Source organism: Homo sapiens, chromosome 21 (genome assembly GCF_000001405.40).
Source record: "Homo sapiens chromosome 21, GRCh38.p14 Primary Assembly".
Classification (NCBI taxonomy): domain Eukaryota; kingdom Metazoa; phylum Chordata; class Mammalia; order Primates; family Hominidae; genus Homo; species Homo sapiens.
Genome location: NC_000021.9, coordinates 32,664,878 through 32,685,282, shown reverse-complemented (window position 1 = coordinate 32,685,282; position 20,405 = coordinate 32,664,878). Strand labels below are relative to the sequence as shown.

General features: G+C 34.3%; 1 protein-coding gene across 24 annotated transcripts in view; it reads left to right on the top strand.

Annotated features, from left to right (window-relative positions):
* Window positions 1-20,405, top strand: part of SYNJ1 (synaptojanin 1) — a 99,636-nt gene that overhangs the window by 43,112 nt on the left and 36,119 nt on the right. For 9 of the 24 annotated variants that reach the window (XM_017028499.3, XM_047441036.1, XM_017028495.3 and 6 more), the window contains 8 exons: window positions 1,164-1,245; window positions 3,635-3,787; window positions 6,473-6,638; window positions 11,752-11,943; window positions 14,911-14,995; window positions 18,710-18,850; window positions 19,148-19,340; window positions 20,212-20,370. In XM_017028499.3, coding sequence (XP_016883988.1) covers window positions 1,164-1,245; window positions 3,635-3,787; window positions 6,473-6,638; window positions 11,752-11,943; window positions 14,911-14,995; window positions 18,710-18,850; window positions 19,148-19,340; window positions 20,212-20,370 — 1,171 coding nt within the window. Of the gene's footprint in view, window positions 1-1,163; window positions 1,246-3,634; window positions 3,788-6,472; window positions 6,639-8,927; window positions 8,952-11,751; window positions 11,944-14,910; window positions 14,996-18,709; window positions 18,851-19,147; window positions 19,341-20,211; window positions 20,371-20,405 lie in introns of all 24 variants that reach the window. The other 15 variants (XM_017028497.3, NM_003895.4, NM_203446.3 and 12 more) reach the window with 3 other exon arrangements.

Below are 20,405 nucleotides of genomic sequence, written 5' to 3'. Positions count from 1 at the left end.
TTTCTTTCTTTAGAATTCACCAAATAATAATGAGAGGTTACATTAGTGAGCGCATTTTATGGAGCAGGCAGTGTACTTAAGTCTTTTTTTTTTTTTTTTTTGAGACGGAGTCTCGCTCTGTCGCCCAGGCTGGAGTGCAGTGGTGCGATCTTGGCTCACTGCAAGCTCCGCCTCCCGGGCTCATGCCAGTCTCCTGCCTCAGCCTCCTGAGTAGCTGGGACTACAAGCGCCCGCCACCACTCCCGGCTGTTTTTTTTTTGTATTTTTAGTAGAGACGGGGTTTCACCGTGTTAGCCAGGATGGTCTCGATCTCCTGACCTCGTGATCCACCCGCCTCCGCCTCCCAAAGTGCTGGGATTACAGGCGTGAGCCACCGCGCCCGGCCGTACTTAAGTCTTAACATGTATCAATAACAATTATAGGGATAGACTCTATTATTATGCCCATTTCCATCTGCTGCAAGTCTCATAATTAGCAAGTGTTAGAACTGGGATTCGTCTGGCTCCATACTTCATGCTGTTATATATGAAACTGTTTTGCTTCTCTTTTAAAACTTACGTTTTAATATTTCTTGATGCCAGTAAAGATTATTAAATGCAAATAGAAGTGAAAGGCTTTGTTTACTGTCTGCTTTAGTATAATTTAAATATTCAGTTTTTGTATGTGAAATAGAGGAGAAAAGTAAATGTTAAGAGAGTTAAGTTCAGAATATAGGTTAAGGGAAACTTTAGTGCAGAAAGCTCAAATTTTTAATTTTTCAATTTGTATTTTATTTAGCATCAATGCTGTAGACACAGTCATTAGAGATAACAGATCTTAGGTTTAAAAAAATTTTGTTCTATAAATATTTTTATTTTATGTGCAAAGAACTGTAAGAGCATAAACCTGAATGTATATTTAGTTTCTAATTGTTGGCCTAATTAAAAATAAGTGTGTGATAGATAATGTAATGAAGCATATGTGACAAAATGTTAACAGTTGTCAAATTTAAATGGTGGGTATATGGATGTTCACAGTATAATTTTTTTTGTATATTTGAATACTGTAATAATAAAAAGTTGGAGAGGGAAGGTGGATGCTACATTTTAATTACCTCAATTATTCACTGTTTGTTTTAGCTTTATTTTTGTTCCAAACTGGATATTTAACTTTATTGGTTACAGATGCCAGAGTGGTACAGTTCGAACAAACTGCTTGGATTGTCTTGATAGAACAAATAGTGTGCAGGCATTTCTTGGCTTAGAGGTAAAAGAATAAATTAAAATGTATGTGCCTTGTATCATCTGCCTCTTTAAGTGCTTTTTGAATACTTATGTTTCTTATTACCTTCCAGAAAGTGTATGTAATGTTATGCTTCATTTTGTACTTCTAATCTCTGTCTCTTTTTTTGGCCAAACTTTCTTTTGATTTAAATATTTCCTTTACCTGATCTTCATATTCTCTTTAGGTAGCTCTCTATCTACTTCTGTTGTTCCTTATTCTCCCTTTTAAAATCTGCTGTTTATAGTATTTCAACAATTTTTTCCCTGTCTTTTGGAGGAAATATATATGTGTGGGTGTGGGTGTATGTGTGTATTTGGCCTTTTATTCTCTGTGTTGTCTTTTAAAAATCTATTTTAGGATAAGAAGGGTCTATTTTCATATGTACAATTATATAGGACTATATTTTTGACAATTTGTAACCCAATCCAGTTTGTTTGGTGTTTTCAAATTAGTAGCTATAAAAAAACAGGATCAGATGAAAATGCCATAGTTAGTGAGAATGAAAATGAATGCAATTCAACTTCTCTGATACCAATCCAGTTTGTTTGGTGTTTTCAAATTAGTAGCTATAAAAAAACAGGATCAGATGAAAATGCCATAGTTAGTGAGAATGAAAATGAATGCAATTCAACTTCTCTGATAAGGTCGCTGTTTGCAACGTTTTTTCTTTTTTTTTTTTCTTTACTACTTATCCATCAGATTCAGCCTAAGATAAACATAGTCTCAACTCTTTGACAAACTATTTAGCAATGCTGAGCTTTCTAAGTCTTCCCTCCTCTGCAAGTTAAGGTTATAAGGCTGTGGCTAAACTTCGTTTAGTTCCATCAGAACTTAACATAGTTCTCAAATACTATAAAAAAACAGCAATAGGAAGTTACATGTTCTTATTTCCTTTAGTTAATGATCTTAAATTTGACCTGAGTATTGGTTAATTAGTTACTTTGCAGCTGAGGTTCTTTATCTCAAAAATGAAAGTACAGTGTATAAAATTCTCTACTACAGAATATATTTTTCATGTAACTAAATAAATTTTACTGTTTGGATTTTTTGAGTATGTTTTTGATGTTTATTTGTAATTTATTTAGAAAATTTGACAGAAACAAGAAAATGAAAGCAAGCATGTTGGTCATTTAGATAAGAGTTTATCACATGCCTTGGATTTGTTTCAAGTTTTAAGTGGCTGAATAAATGTACATGGATTCTGATAATAAGCTTATTGAAGTACTTGGACCTCTTCATCAAAATTATAACAGATGTTAGTTTTCAGGATCTGACTTAGCTGATTCTCCACTGTTGATAGTTAGGAATTAGAAAACTCCCTAGGATAGCAATTGGTTGACAGGTTACAAAGTTTGACACCAAGATAGACAAAGCCAAACTAGTAGAGGAATAAGATCAGTTTTGCCCAGTTCCTTGAAGAAAGATTTAAATGATAAAGGAGGCCCTGGGGCTCATTTTGTTTTATTCTCCATGCTAGCAAAGAACAGCTCTGGTGTAAGTCTCTAGGTAATTAAATGAACCCAGTTTAAGGTTTTTTTAATCTTATTTTAGCTTTTGGTTCTTCTATAATTATGGATGATCACCATACTTACATGATAAAATAAAACGTAAATTGGAAAGAGTTAAGTTAAAATGCAAGGCATAGAATATGACTAGATTCCAAATACACAGATTGGATAAAGATCGAACATTGACTCTGTCAGATTTATAGGCTAGAATTCTTGCATATAAAGATCAATAACTTTTTGGAACACTTTTATTGTTATATGTGATAAGGACTTGTGGAAGCCGAGAGGTCCTTGAATTTCTTGCATGCTCTTCCCCCTAGTTCTTCCCTTATATATATTACCGATGTGGATTTTATGCATAAAAAGCTGTCATGACTTCATTCAGAAGTTTTACTTATTTTCTTTATTTTGTGACAATTTAAGAGCAACTCCTTTTTTTCATTTTTTTTACCTTAATTACTTAAACTTATAAAGCCAAATCCAAAAGTTAAAGAGACCTAGTTATTTATGTTTAGGACTAAGTAAACTTTTTTTTATTCTAATGCAGGCTGTTGATTGATGAATTCTTTTAGGTGGGCAAGGTAAACAACTCTGATTTATAGGGATACTTTAATAAGATAAATTTTATCATTTAACCAGAAAGAAGTCCTTATCAATACTTGTAGTTTCCATTGATACAGTATTTGTTTTAAAAATTGAAATGATGGGAAATAACTCAGCCTAGTAAACTGTTATGTTTTCAGAAGCTAGTCCCAAATAGTGCTATAATGATAAATTTTTGGTTTGATTCTGGTAGTTCTTAAAAGCCATATTACAATTAATATATTAATGTACTTATAAAAATTTCTTGTTTGCTTTTTAAGATGCTAGCTAAACAGTTGGAAGCTCTTGGTTTAGCTGAAAAGCCTCAGTTGGTGACTCGCTTTCAAGAAGTTTTTCGGTCAATGTGGTCCGTGAATGGTGATTCAATCAGTAAGATATATGCAGGAACTGGAGCTCTTGAAGGGAAAGCGAAGGTATATCTAGATCTATCATAACATTACAGAATATCCTCTTTTTCCTCTCTTCATAAAGCTTTTAAATGGCCTTTTAAAAGTTAATAGATGGTTTAAATTAATAGATGTGTCTTAGAATTCTGTTTAATGTGCTTTTATGCCTTCTTTGATACTTCCTTTCACAGTGGATACTAGTGAATAAATGGAAGATAGGTATTTCCCTAAGTTTGGGAAGTATGTATATATAACGTATCTAGTCATTTAGTGACAATCCACTAAGATGATATATATTGCTCTTTTTTTCATGATTTCCCTTGTATATCTGTTTTACTTTTTGTATTGTTTGTTTTGATTACAAATATGATTTTTAAAACCATAGACCTCTTAATAAAGGGTTCTCTCTTATTTGGCTTTGCGTTCCCTGCACTTAACACAGTGCCTACTGTTAATAGATGTGTGACGTATGCCACTTGGACAAGTAAGTCCATCAACAGCTTATGCAGTGCTTACTAGGAACCCAAGATTAGGGCATAATTGATCTTTACTTATCTTACCTTAGAAAGGTGGCTATCAAGATGTGCCAACGAAGTGTGAGATATGGGCCAGGTGTGGTGGCTGACGCCTATAATCCCAGCACTTTGGGAGGCTGAGGCAGGTGGATCACTTGAGACCAGGAGTTCTAGTCTAGCCTGGCCAACATAGCGAAACCACATCTCTACTGAAAATAGAAAATACTAGCTGGGCATGGTGGTGCACACCTGAAATCCCAGCTACTCGGGAGTTTGAGGCATGAGAATCACTTGAACCCAGGAGGTGGTGGTTGCAGTGAGCCAAGATCACGCCACTGCACTCCATCCAGCCTGAGTGACAGAGTGAGACTCTGTTCCAAAAAAAAAAAAGAATGGACTTAATTATAATTGTCTGTTTCATCATTACTTTTTATTTCCTGGTATTATCTACAGACTACTTTCTTCTCAAGTATTTGTCCCTTATTGAGGGAGTTTGGAACAATACTTGAGATAGTTTTCATTATTTTATATTCTTAAATATTGTTTAACTTTTTAAGGATCCTGGCCTCACTTGAATTTATCAACTTTCTAAATCTCCACAATTTCTCAAATTATTTCAAGAATAGAAATGAGAACATTTATCACTTTTATAGTTCTCATTCAGCTTCTTCCATACAGCAACTGAAATTCTTTAAAGACCATTCATGGTCTCCAAGTCTTCTTTTAATTTCCAAGTCTTCCTCTTCTGTGTCTCATAATATGCCATGCCTCTGCCCAGAGGTATTGGCCTTACCTGCAAAGTTTCTTTTGTTCAACTCATAGAAATAATTTGTATTGACTTTTACAAATATTTACTTCTTAAGTGGTCCCTATTTTTGTAAACATCAAATTGTTAAACTTTGATTTATTCCTTTTAAACAACATAATTCTTGCTATTAAAAGCTGATTCTCAAACTATTGCTTAAAATATTCTTTTATATACTTCTACCTTTTCATTTCTGCAGTGACTACAATATATGTACAGAGGTTACATATATTTTCAGTGGTCTTTTATCTTTAACATAATATATAGATATAAAATTTTATACATTAAATATGCTAGCCTGAATTGAACTAAAATCTAACATCTGAACTGCTCTTTCTTTTCCTTTTCTCTGGGTTCCTTTTGATTAATTGCCTGATAATGTGAATGGTGAGTGTCTTTTCAAATAATGTCATTTGCATATGCTATTATATAGAAAGAAATAACACTTAATGCCAAACATTAATTGCTTATTAAATATAGTAGCATTCATTTAATGGCATTGAAGAAAACTGGTTCTTCATTTAGTGGCATTTAAGAAAATTGGCTCTTTATTCTAAAAAGAAGCCTTGAGTTACTGTTATTTCTTTAAAGAATAAAAATTACATATTGCAAACTGAAGTTATTTCCTAAAAGACGCAAGTTTTTTGTTTTGACAATCATCAAAATCTGTAAGATCAAAATAAATCATTATGGTAACTAACATGCCTAAGTAAAATATATATTCATTAAAAGTTATAATCAAATCTCACTATAGGAATAAGTTTATTATCTTATGATGTATTTTTGCATGGGCAATAAAATGACTCAAAATATACAAACTGTAGTTTACATGTAATATTCGTTTATGAACTGTACTTGTAAATTTCTTTTGAGACTAGACCTTCATTCTTAGGTTTAGTTTTAATTTTAACTCATGTAAGCTATTTGGGAGCAATTTCCATTTTCTTTTTCTACTACCAAAGTAATTTGAAGTTTTTCTAGGGGCAGTTAAGCTCAGTGTATCTTCTTTTATCTCCCATTTCTCCTTACCCATTTTATCCCCAAGTTTACAAATTACCTTGTAAGAAGGAATTTTCTTGTTTTAAATAAGTTCACTTCAGTTTATTTCCTTTGTAATAAGCAATTTTAAACATTTGTTGCCCTAGATGTAATTACTGGATGAGGTTGTAGCACTGAGCTTTTTCATTTCTTTGTGCAGAGCTTTAATCCAAAAGAAGAAAGGAAACAGTGACATGTTGGAGGCATTTTAATTGTCATGACTATATATTCAAAATAGAACGATTAGGTCCTTTTTTATACTAAAATCATATAAAACTGATTTAAAATTTCAAAAAACCTAATGAGTAAAATCAGTAATATTTAAAATGAAAATCTGCGCTCCTTTCTTAACAGGCTGGAAAGTTAAAAGATGGTGCTCGCTCTGTTACCCGAACAATTCAGAATAACTTCTTTGACAGCTCCAAGCAAGAGGCCATTGATGTTTTGCTACTGGGAAATACTCTGAATAGTGATTTAGCTGACAAAGCTCGAGCACTTTTAACTACTGGAAGTTTGCGTGGTATGTGCACTTTATATTTTATTTGTTATTTATATTCCTAAAGGTCCAAGAGGTAAATGTAAACTTATTTACACAGAATTTTTAGTTGGTTAAAATAGTTTTTGAAGGGATTTCTGTAAAGGTAATTTTTGAAAAGTACATTCTCCAAGGGAAGTTTGTCTGTTTTAAAATATTTGTACAATCAGTGGTATTACTAAGCTGTAAACTGAGGCCCTTGCATGGTTTCTTCTATAGATTATGATTGAGGGGTAAATAATTAAGCATTGTTAACTTTGTACAAGGCAGTATTTCATAGAATATTCAGCTAGTACTTGTAATACAGCATTTAATAATCTAATTATGCAGAAAAATGCTTTACTGGGAAAACTAATGCCTATATTGGTTATTTTTTAAATCACTATCCCAAAAGTTTCTGTAACTTGGTCTTAACTTTTAATTGCTATTGTTTGAATAAGCATTAAATCATATTAATAATTTAAAGTAGTGCTAATTATTGGGCACTAACTGCTATTACCAATTTTAATATTTGAAATAAATATATGACCTTCAGAATAGGTTTTCACCTTCCACTGTGTCTTTTAAAAAAAAACTTCTCCTATCAGTGAGCACATAAAAGTAGCATGACGGGAAAACTCAACATTCATTGTAGAATTTAATAGATTAGACTTACTTTTTCTTTCTCTAAAATGTATTGAGGTATAATTGACAAAATAAATTTTTTCCATTTTAACTTTTTAGCACTCTGAAAAAGAAATTTTTTTTCTGTTAGCCCTAAACCAAACTTTTTAATGTTCCCTGTTCAAGTGGGAGAAAATTGTTTCTGCATCAAGTAATGTATTCTTGGGTAATTACTTGGTCAAATAAGTTATGGATTATTTTAGAATTTGCATGGTGCCTAAAGGTAGTTAATTACGGACAGTTCCTCAGGGACCTGTAAGTGGGCTAGGGAACTTAGACCTACTAAAACTCCAAAAAATGTCTGATCTTAGCTACTACTTTCAACTTCAGGCTTTCTTCCTGGCTTCCAAAAGTAGAGACTTGACTGATTTGTGTTTTGTCACCTCTTTCCACCTGTGCCTACATTGATGTGGAGGCATTAATAAGCAACAATTGAAAGTAAGTGGTTGAAGGAAAGAAGAGGAGAAACAAGGGACCTATGTAATCCTCAAACTTCAGCATTAGTGTTTTTAGTTTCCTGCGCATTTTACTATAAGTAAAATCATACCTTTAAAAAAAAGTACAGTCAGTTCTGCTGTAACGCTTGTTCTGAGAATGGGAATTTGTTCCAATATGATATATTAGGGAACTGTTTGAGCATAAGGCCAATTTTGCATGAGCTTATGCATGATTTTGCTGGGAAGCAACACTAGGTAAATGCAGAAAAGTGCACCCAGCAGAACTAAGATGGCTAGAAATATGTACAACATATAAAACACACATACACATATGCACACACACCTCAAACATCTTCCCCTGCCTCAGTTCACTATGTGTGTTATGAGCCATACACATTCACATCTGTTCTTTCAACTTTTCATTGAATTTCAGATATCCCTTTCTCCATTATTCATATTACAAGCTGCACTCTGCCTGATGCCCATTTCTACAAGCCAACTTCATTCAAGATGAAGTGCCTTATTAATGGTTATATTCATGCATTTCATAACCATTTAACATGTATAATGTCTTGCTACTATTTTTATGAGGTTCCCATCTTTTTTGATGTGTCATTGTTGAAGTTTTTGAACGTGGTACCCCAACCCCATTTTTCCCATAAGCCCTGTGGCTGTGGGAATTTGCAAAATTTGCATAGCATGGTGATGTTTTTAGAATGCATTTTTCTTGTTATAGCTGAAGTGATTATACTTATCAACTGCTAAGTCCCAGAAAGAATACTAAAAGGTGTGTATTAGGGCAGTATCTTCCATATCTTCAACATCCTCCATCTTCTTAGGTTTTCATATTTATATTCATAATATTCTCAAACATGTGCGCATGCATGCATAACATACACACAGGAGCAGCCAGAAGCGCAGGCCTAGGAGCTTCTGATGGTGAAACGGTGGATATCACTGAGTCACTGTAGGATTCTTCTTAGGTGCAGAAGGTTTGTATCAATCATTGTCGTTTATTTGTAACACTTGGTGTTCTATAGCTATCAGAAAAAAATAAAGTCATCAAATTGACTTAAGTGAGGTCTTCTCAAAATGTTTTGTCACTATACTCAACATTTTAATTGTAACTTGTTTTTACTAATGATTCTTTGTTTTCTTCTTGTTGCATCCATAGTTTCTGAGCAGACATTACAGTCAGGTACAGTATAGAAAATCAATCTATAAATAAAAGCAATTTTTTCTTATTTTTTCTGAAGTCGATATTGTAAACAAATAAAGCCATATAATTGGAAACTTTCTCATTTTGCCATCAGATCCTAACAGGATAAATTGATATCTTGTTTTAATCTGAGAAAAGAATTTCAAGCTTGAGAAAATTAAGTACTTCATTCTGAAGAAAATGTGCAGTGCTCTTTGTCTTCCTGTAGCAATTGCTTAATTCCAGTTAAAGATAATTCAGCTAGTTTTAATTTCACTTTTACATTTCATTGAACAAATATTATTAGTGTTATGCCTTACTCTTAATAGGCTGATGGAAAAAAATCCAGATGTAACTACTTTGAATTAATTTCTGAGTGCCATCCGTGATATTTACAACTACTAAACAGTGTTTCTCACATATAATATTTAAGAAGGCATTGTTGCATTTCCTTATTGTGAATGAAATAGTTTCAAAACTATAGACTTGCACTAAAATATGATCTGAAATCTTTTAATTTTAAAAAGTGCCAAGATTTCTAACAAAGAATAGTTAAGTGTGTGAGACCTAAAGACTATTTATTATTTTTCTTGCCTATTTATTCCTAGGAATCTCACGTCTTCATTCTCTGGGCAAGGTTTATGATCTTGTCTTTAAACATGAATCTGTGGCAAAAGGAATGAAAGCTTAACTCTTGCCAGAAATTTAGTTGAAAAGGATTTGCTATCACTTAAGAATTGTTTGGCTTAGTTATTGTTCTGAATGTTTTGAGAAGCTGTTGATTATTTTCTCGAGAAGGGTAGAGGAAGAGAGCACCTAGATATATTTTTGAGTTATATAATGAACACCATTTTCTGAAATAGTATGGTATTTAGGGATGGACATCTGTTGTTTGAGCATAGACTCATTTCTTTTTTAAAATTTTTTATTTTATTTTATTTTTTTGACTCTCTGTTTCTTTAAGCACATTAAGGTGGCACCAGTTAAGAATAAACTAGGACTATTTTTTATCTTTTTATTTCATTTAAAAACTGACTTGACTTTATTAGTTCATACAGTGAGGCAGTACGTTTTTATTCACACAGTTCATTGTCTTGCTGAATATTTTAAGCCGTGTAATTATTATAGAACTTGTGTGTTGATATAGAATGGATTATAGACACTATGTTCGCATTGGTAACAAGCAGTGACTTCAATTTTTAAGAGCAATGATAAACCATAATTATAGAGAATTATTTTTATCTAGGTACAGTCAGCTTTGAATTAACCATACCAACAGGCCAGACAAGTAATCTGCTTTCATTACCACCCAGACACCTCTATACAAGCAATCAAAGCAAACAGCTAGGTGGTGAGAAATCTGCATATCTGCCCCTGGAAACAATGGGGATATACTTATCTAAATCAGCAGTTCCACAGGTCAAAATTATCTTTACAAGAATACTAAGACATCACTCGCCTTTTTCACTCTCATTTCCTCATAAGACTGCTATATCTTGGTATCATAAGAGAATATCATAATAAAATAAGATCATGTGGTAAAAGGTGAAAGTAGTTTTGATGTCCTTTTCCTGTTACCGGTTAGCTACCAATGAAGTACAGATTTTTAGGTTGAGGTGCTTTTAAGGTTCTATGCTGAGAATTTAACCAGGATAGAATGTGGTTTAGAAAGGGAAAAGATGGGTTGTAGACCAAAAAAAAAAAAAAACGGGAGAGATTGAGGATTCAAAATGTATTGAACATTCATTCATTTAACAATTATTTATTGAGCACTTACTGCGTACCAGGTAGTCTTTTAGTTACTAGGAGTATTCCCATAAAGAAAACAGACTAACATGTCTGCCCTCATGGATTTTCCATTCTCATGAGGGGAGACAGTTACAGGATAAATAAATAAAATACATAGTTTATAAATGTGATAAATGCTATAGAGAAAAATAAAGCAGGGAGGGGATAATGGAAAGTTAAGGGCAGAGTGCAGTTTAAATAAAGTGGTCAGAGAAGGCCTCATTGGAAAGTAAAGACTTGAAGGATGTGCGGGAAGAGTGTTGCAGGCTGTGGGCACAGCCAGTGCAAAGGCCCTGTGGTGGAAGCAGGCCTCATATGTTTTTGAAACAGCAGGAAGGCCAGTGTCTGAGCAGTGAGTGCACCAGGGAGAGTGGAAGATGAGGGTGGAAAAACAAGACAAATTGTTGAGGGCCTTGTGGACCATTGTTTAAGCACTTTGGCTTCCACTCTGAGTGAGATGGGAAGCATTTAGTAGTGATTTCATTTTCAGAAATATCAGCTTGTATTTTTCTCAAGGAGCCATTATTCATCAAGCTGCCTGTCAGTAGCTACAATCTTAAATGTAAATGTTCTTAAATGTTTTTGTTTGGAGAAAAATAAAATTTATATTTTTACCAGACTCTTAATGAAAATTGTAGAAAGTTAATTGCTATATTCCTAAAAATGTATAGTTCATTGGATTTGTACATTAATGTACCATTTCATTGAAACAGAACTATTTGTTCTGCATGTTGCTGCAATAATTCTGTATGTGTAGTATTTTTTTTTTTACTTTGGCTATTGTATTTAATGTTGACTTTTTTTTTTTTTTAAAGATGTGTTGGTTAATTGCCTCATACCAGGCTTTGCATTGAAGGCTGATCTTTTTTTGTGCCTGTGCCTGTATCTTTTGCTTGTTTGTGCTTGTGATAATAATTGTGCTTTCCAGCGGACATCGTATCTCAGTTATGAAAATCAATTTTTATAAATGGTTTGATGCAGCTAAAATTCTATTGTGTCTTCTCTTGATTAGCATCTTCTAAAGTACTAAAGAGCATGTGTGAGAATTTCTACAAATATTCAAAGCCTAAGAAAATTCGAGTATGTGTCGGAACCTGGAATGTGAATGGTGGGAAGCAATTTCGCAGCATAGCTTTTAAGAATCAGACACTCACTGACTGGCTTCTTGATGCACCCAAGTTAGCTGGCATCCAGGAGTTTCAAGGTTGGCTTTTTATAATATGGATTTAGTTAATAAATCCTGACTGTGTTGTATTGATCTAGAAAACAAATATAGCACTTCAGAGGATGCATTAATTGATGAAAGAAACTTGGAGCTATACATTTGAAGACCAACAACATCTTTAAAGATCACATCTATTAAAATCTCAGCTTTTTAAAATTTCTAGACCATTATTTTCTACTTCATAAAAATATATGATGGTAAAACAAAAAATCTTTTTTCCATAATTGATTCTCAGGAAATAGGAATTCACACATAGATTTCTTTGAAGGCAACCACACATATAAGAAAATCTAGTTTTGTTTTTATTTTAAATGGACATAAACCAAGATTATGGACATAAACCAAGATTATGTCCATTTAACATTGATCATTTATTAATTTTAATTAAAATTACATAATTAAAATATAATTGATCACTTGAGTTTTATTTTTCAAACCTACTATGTCCCATTTTTCAATTCTTAATCCTCTATTTAGTTACTAAGATAAGAAATGTCAGAGTGGGTCTTGAGCAGCCTTATAAAACTTGTGATATTTATTGGTACTTATGTAATAACTTAAGAGCACTGGTTTATCCTTGAAAAACTTTGTTGGCATTCAGTTTGGGTTCTCTGCACCAAACTGTTAATAAATAGCCAGAACCAAACATTTAGCAGAGGATACTTTTGTTAAGGTTTTGGGCTGGGCACGGTGGCTCACGCCTGTAATCCCAGCACTTTGGGAGGCCGAGGCAGGTGGATCACCTGAGGACAGGAGTTTGAGATCAGCCTCGCCAACATGGTGAAACTCCGTCTCTACTAAAAATAAAAAAATTAGCCGGGTGTGGTGGTGTGCGCCTGTAATCCCAGCTACTCGGGAGGCTGAGGCAGGAGAAATGTTTGAATCCAGGAGGTAGAGGTTGCAGTGAGCGGAGATCCCACCACTGCATCCAGCCTGGGTGACAAGAGTGAAACTCTCAAAAAAACAAAAAAACAAAAAAAAAGAAAGAAAGAAAAAGATTTTGATTAGAATCATGAACTTAATTTTCTTCTTTTTAAAAATTAACTTTAATTCCTTTTTAAAATAGTATATAATTACCAAGTTTTATATGTGAGGGTGATGTGTATAGGAAATGGTGTGAGATAAAATTTTTCTTTTTTAGTTATTTTTCATCAGTTTCATCTTAAACCCTGGGATTCTCCCCAAACTTTTTATTAAAATACCTTTCTTTCTTTTCTTTTTCTTTTTCTTTTTCTTTTTTTTTTTTTTTTTTTTTTTTTGAGATTGAGTTTAGCTCTTGTTGCCCAGGCTGGAGTGCAGTGGCAGGATCTCGGCTCACTGCAACCTCTACCTCCCGAGTTCAAACGATTCTCCTGCCTCAGCCTCCTGAGTAGCTGGGATTACAGGCATCTGCCACCGTGCCCGGCTAATTTTTTGTATTTTTAGTAGAGATGGGGTTTCACCATGTTGGCCAGGCTGGTCTCAAACTCCTGACCTCAGGTGATCCACCCGCCTCGGCTTCCCAAAGTGTTGTGATTACAAGCGTGAGGCACTGCACCTGGCCTAAAATGCCCTTTCTTACTTAATTGAACCTAACTTGAAGTTGTGATAGTAATGATAATAAAATAACAGCTAACACTATAATTCTATGTACCTTACATGTGTTCATTTAATCCTCAGAGCTGACCTATTATTTCATAGACACCATTATTCCAATTTTACAGATGAGGAAACTGAGACATTGAAAGGGAAGGAACCTGCCCATGTTTGTGCAGTAGTGGCAAAGCCAGGATTTGAACTCAGGCAGTTTGGCTTTAGAGTGTGTATGCCAGGCTGCATTTTATGTGTGAACTTGGGCAAGCTTCCTGTTTGTAAATAAAAGATAAAAATAATCTTTCTTAGAAGATGTTTTTATGGCAGTTTAAATAAGATGATGTATGCATGAGACTTGCACATAATAGCAGTCAATAATTTTTTTTTAATTTCAGTGTTAGTTCAGACTATTTATAGGCTCTTCTTTTTTTTTTCTTTTTGAGACAGGGTCTTTCTCTGTTGCCCAGGCAGTGGTGCAGTCTCCATATCATAGGTCACGATAACCTCAAACTCCTGGGCTCAAGAGATCCTCCCTCCTCAGCCTTCTGAATAGCTAGGCATGCCACCATGCTAAGCTAATTTTTTTATTTTTATTTTTTTGTAGTGATGGGGGTCTCACTATGTTGCCCAGGCTGGTCTCAAACTCCTGGCTTCAAGTGATCCTCTCACCTCAGCCTTCCAAAGTGTTTGGCATTACAGGCAGGGGCTGTAGCATCTGGCCATATAGGCTCTTTCTAGCTATTTGTCCTCATTTCTAGAAACTTGGGGCACCCGAAGTCTCCCTGGGCTGCTTTCTCAGGCAGCTCTGTTCTCCGTTAGTCCTTGTAGTTTCCAGAGTGCCAGCAGCTAGACAGAGTGATGTGTCTTACTTTCTGGATCTCTCCTAGTTTTCCTGGATTTCTTTCACCCAGAAAATAGCAAAAAGATCAAGATTATGTTTTTCAAATATGAATGTGAAAAATTCCTCCCAACTGTTACCAGCAATTTGAGGTAGTTTCTCAGTCACTTTATTCTTTGTGCCTTTTCTGAATAATTTCTCTCTCCAGTTTTATGTGAGATTTTGATTTGAGAAATGATTTGTTTCTGTGCTGTCCCTGGTAAAAACTTTAGCAAGAGTTTTTTCAAAGTGAATTCTGAAAGGGCTTAAGAATCTTCAAGGATAACCGTCTTAAAGAAGCAAACTTAGGACACCCTAATAGAAAGTAAATTTTAATAATTTCATTCCACTCAAGAGTGTTTGCCTTTAATATGAATTTGGTTAAACTCAAAACACAGAAATCAGTCTTTATGAGACCTGGTGTTATGTTGTGTTGGATGGGGTTGCTATTTGCCTGAGGCTATATTTAAAAGTATTTCTTGGATGCTTAATTTTAGATAAAAGAAGTAAGCCAACTGATATATTTGCAATTGGTTTTGAAGAAATGGTAGAATTGAATGCTGGAAACATTGTGAGTGCAAGGTAAGCTAGCCACATTAATCCACTGAAAAATTTGCCAGTTGAGGGAAACTATGGAGGACAGATAATTAAGTAATTGTTACAAGGATAGTTTGAAATAATAAATGGAAGGGTGCTCGTAAAACTGTAAAAGAGCATTTCTCATACTTTTGGGTCTGAGGATCTCTCTGCACACTTAAAAATATTGAGAATGTTAAATAACTTTTGCTAATGTTGTTTATATCTTTGTTATATTAGGAATTAAAAATGAAAATTTAAAAACATTTAATTCACTTAAAAACAATAATAAACCTATTACATGCTAACTTAAAATAAATTTTTTGAAAAATAACTTTTTCAAAACAAAAAATTTACTGAGAAGGGTGGCACTGTCTTGTAGTTTTCCAAATCTCTTTAATGTCTAGTTTAAGACAGCCAGATTCTTACATCTACTTCTGTGTCAGTCTGCTGCAGTATGTTGTTTTGATTGAAGTATATGAAGAAAAATCACATAACTATGTAGTTTGAAAAGGAAATATTTTAATAACCTTTCTAGATAATTTCTTCTCTGATACTACACCAAAACAGATAATTTATTCTCTGCTGTAGTATAGATAACAGAGAAGTATTATCTTGGTGTAGTGTGTGGATAAGACACTATACCAAATGGTAGTGTCCTAAAGGTTAGTTGCAAAATGGAATCTGAAACCATATTGATGAACTTTTTCTGCTCTATTATCTAAAATTCATCTTTTACCTTTGCGTGATTTTGTAACATCATGTATTGGTCACTTGGGTTCCCTAAGTTATGTAGCACTTCCAAATTTTAACACATTTCATTATATAATATCAAAGCATCATATTGGTTAATTACCAGCATTGGTAACTGCATCAGAAAATAATTGTTGGGAAGCTGTAAGGATCATGGTAGCAGATACAAGTTTTCCAGAATACTAATTTTTGCCTGAAAACGCAAGTTTTTCCATTGAAAACAAATGCTCTTGGTTGTTTTTCTTAAAGAGACAGGCTTAGTTGAAAAAAATGCCACATAACCTAAATCTGAATAACCACCGTCTGTCATTAGTTCTTTTAAGGGAAAATTGTATTCCAAAAAAAAAGTGGCAGTTTGACTCACAATTTAAAGCATTTTCTTTTTTTGTTACAGATCATAAGTCAGTATGCAACACAAGTGCTTTGTATGTATTTCCTGTGTATCACACAGAATATTAAAAAGATGTGACCTGGGTTGAGCTTTAATAAAATCAATAATGTCTGTTGCTTCATCAAGGACATTCTTAGGCGAAGTGGCATTTTTTTTTTCCTGCAAGTATATGGCAGTGGGGATTGTAATGATGACTAGTATAGTTTGGTGCCTAAATTCGAGTGAAAGCACCAGCACTTTTACCCATTGTTGCTTTTGCACCATCAGTGCAAATGTTAGTCAACACAGTGAAAGATGTCTTAATAGTATGATGAAAATAGTTGTGACCCCATGGGCTTTGGGAACCCTCAAAGATGTCTCCAGATCACACTTTGGGAACGCTGTTCTGAATCCATATTATAAATACAAATTATATGAGTGAGGCTTAAAACTTCAGTGTTTTATTTTAACAAAGTATGCTTGCTTTTAAATTTCAGCAGTTTCCCATCTTTTATGACATTTTTAAAGATTTTTAGGAGAAAATTATAGGCTGAAATAGTCATCAATCTTGCAAGTGACAAATATTTTATTAGGCAAAATGAAAAACAATTCACATCAGGAAAATTGGAAAGAAATCAACTTCACCCATTTTGTTGTTTGATTATGTTTCCTGAAAAATATATTCAGGTCCTAAACTAGACTATAACTCTGAGGGTTCCTAGTACTAAGTGCATGGATCAATTGTTTGTCTAAATAGAGTTTAATCAAATTCTTCTTTAGGCTAGGTTTAATCAAATTCTTTAGGCTGGGTGTGGTGGCTCATGCCTGTAATCCCAATGCTTTGGGAGGCCAAGGCAGGTGGATCACTTGAGGTCAGGAGTTTGAGACCAGCCTGGCCAATATAGTGAAACCCTATCTCTACTAAAAATACAAAAAAATCAGCTGGACGTGGTGCCCCGTGCCTGTAATCCCAGCTACTCAGGAGGCTGAGGCAGGGAGAATCGCTTGAACCTGGGAGACGGAGGTTGCAGTGAGTGGAGATCGCACCACCGCACTCCGGCCTGAGTGACAGAGCAAGACTCTGTCTCAAATATGTATATGTATATATATATACACACATGCACACACACACACACACACACACACACACACACACACACATATATATTCTTCTTTAATAAAGTAGTGAATATTTATTCATTTATTTAAGCAGTACCTACTGAGTACCACTCTTAAGTACCTCCAATGAATCAAACAGACAAAAATCCCTATCTTCATGGACTTCGTATTCTAGTGGGAAGAAACGGACAGTGAACAATAACAACAATAAGTAAATTATACAGCATGTTAGAAAAGTGCAATGGAAAAGAGAGGAAAAGGAGATCAACTATAGGGACACAGGGAAGTGTTGGAAGTCTCAAATGAATGATCAAGATAAGGTTCATTGAGAAGATGAGGAATGAGTTTCAGCTACTTGCGGGGCTGAGGTGGGAGGATCGCTTGAGCTCAGGCAGAGGTTGCAGTGAACCGACATCCTGCCACAGCACTCCAGCCCTGGGTGACAGAGTGAGACCCCATCTCAAGAAAAAAAGAGAGATTAGGAGACATGACAAGCAAATGCAATATGTAGACCTTGTTTGGACCCTTTTTAAAGAAACAAACCAACTGTTAGAAGATTTTTTTTTAATAAATGGGGAACTTTAAGTATAAACTATTAGATGATATTAAGGAATTATTAATGTTTAAATGTGATAAGGTGAAGAGGATGGAAAAAATAGATTGGCAAAATGTTGGTAATTTTGAAATGGGTATATGGTGGTTTGTTTAATGATTATGTCTTCTAATTTCCCATAGCAAGATTTTTTAAAAAGACATTAGTTATAATTTAGAAAAATTTTGAAAAGTGGGGAAATGTATTTGGAAGCACATATAGTCACATATATGTGCACAGTTAGCTGTCCTTATCCATGGGTCTGACATCTTTGGATTCAACTCATCAAAATATTAAATATTTTTTAAAATTGTGTCTATACTGAACATGTGTAGCCTTTTTTTTTTTGTCTTTTTTACTTGCAGACTTTTTTGTATCGTTATTCCCTAAACATTACAATATAACAACTAATTACATTGTATTAGGTATTATAGGTAATCTAGAGATGATTTAAAGTATACGAGAGATTTACATGGGTTATATGCAAGTATTACTCCATTTTATGTAAGGGACTTGAGTATCCTTGGATTTTGGTATCATGGGAGGTCCTGAAACCAATCTCCCACAGATACTTCTATACTTCTCTGTGATCTTAATGAATACTTAAGGAAAAAGTAAAATGTATAAGTTTGAATTTACTCACCCAGTGAGTAGCCATTTAATGTCTTTATATTTTCTTTGTAAAGAAGTAATAGATTAGATTTTGAAATGTGGTTTTCTTTTGGCTAAATTGTAGATTTTCCTTTTTAAAGGAAACAAAAACAGCCTAAGCTTCCTTCAGAGTCTTAGGATATTTGGGTAGATAAAGGTATAATTGACAATTGTCATAAAATAGGCTATTGTCAATACCTTTTTAAAAAATTCTCTTTTTAATATTTTCTTGTAGCACAACAAATCAGAAGCTCTGGGCTGTAGAACTTCAGAAGACAATCTCCAGAGACAACAAGTATGTGCTGCTGGCTTCTGAACAGTTGGTGGGCGTCTGTTTGTTTGTTTTTATCAGACCACAGCATGCTCCTTTTATCAGGTCAGTAAACAGAACACTCCTCTAAGGCTACTTCCTACCATTAAATAACAAGAAAAAAGCCTAGAATGTTTATTGTTTCAGTTCTTCAAACAAAAACTATCCATAGTTCTTGTTTTAAAATGGGGTTTTGGGGGTTTTGATTAAAGACTCACCAATAGCTTCACTGTACTATTTCAAAGGCTTGCCCTCAAAGTACCATACCATGTGTACTTAAATGATTATGTATATTCCTCATTTCCTATGCACATGGAACTCTTGAAATTTCAAATCTGCGATTTAGAATTCTTTGTTTCAAAGGGATGTTGCAGTTGATACTGTGAAGACTGGAATGGGAGGTGCAACTGGAAATAAGGGAGCAGTTGCAATCCGAATGCTCTTCCATACAACCAGCCTTTGCTTCGTCTGTAGCCACTTTGCTGCAGGGCAGTCACAAGTCAAAGAAAGAAATGAAGATTTTATAGAAATAGCACGAAAATTGAGTTTTCCTATGGTAAGCTCTTGCTGCTTGTTCTTGAAGATAAAGCTTTGAAATATATTTTAATTTGCCCCAAATTCTACATCAATGTTTTTGGAAATTTAAGATAGTTCCTAGAAACATTAAGAATATTCACCTAAATAGATATTTCATGAGTATTAACCCAAAATATCTGAGACAGGGCTCAGTCAATTTAGAAAGTTTATTTTGCCAAGGTTAAGGATGTGGCCATGATATAGCCTCCAGAATTCAGAATGACATGTGCCCAAGGTGGTCGGGGGTACAGTTTGCTTTTATACATTTTAGGGAGACCTGAGACATCAGTCAGTATGTGTATGATGTACACTGGTTTGGTCTGGTAAGGCAGGACAACTCGAAGTGGGGGCTTCCAGGTTAGAAGTAGATAAGACGCAAAAGGTTGCATTCTTTTAAGTCCTAGATCAGCCTTCCACTGAATACACAATTTAGTGTGGCTCAGTGAATCTGCATTTTTGCATAAACAATAGGGCAGAGGAAGCAGTCAGATGTGCATTTGTCTCAGGTGAGTCTCAGAGGGATGACTTTGAGTTCAGTCTATACTTTGTCCACAAGGAATTTCCTGTGGGCAAATTGTGAGGGAGTTATGTAGCTTCTTATCTTTGGAGCTATCTTATTTAGGAGTAAAATGGGAGGCAGGTTTACCTGTCATAGTTCCTGGCTTGATTTTTCTCTGGGCTTAGTGATTTTGGGGTCCTGAGATTTATTTTCGTTTCACATGTGTTATTACTGTTGGGTCAAAGAAACAGGACATGGGAGGAGACAAGCATATCTCAGGCAAAGAAATAGTTGTAAAACATTTTTGAACATTGATTGTTTTGAATTTAAAATTCTATCTCATTGCTTTCAGGGAAGGATGCTATTTTCCCATGACTATGTATTTTGGTGTGGTGATTTCAACTATCGAATCGATCTCCCTAACGAAGAAGTTAAAGAGCTCATAAGACAGCAAAATTGGGATTCTCTTATAGCAGGAGATCAACTTATCAATCAGAAAAATGCTGGACAGGTATATCTATACTTGAGAAAATACTTGCATTAAGA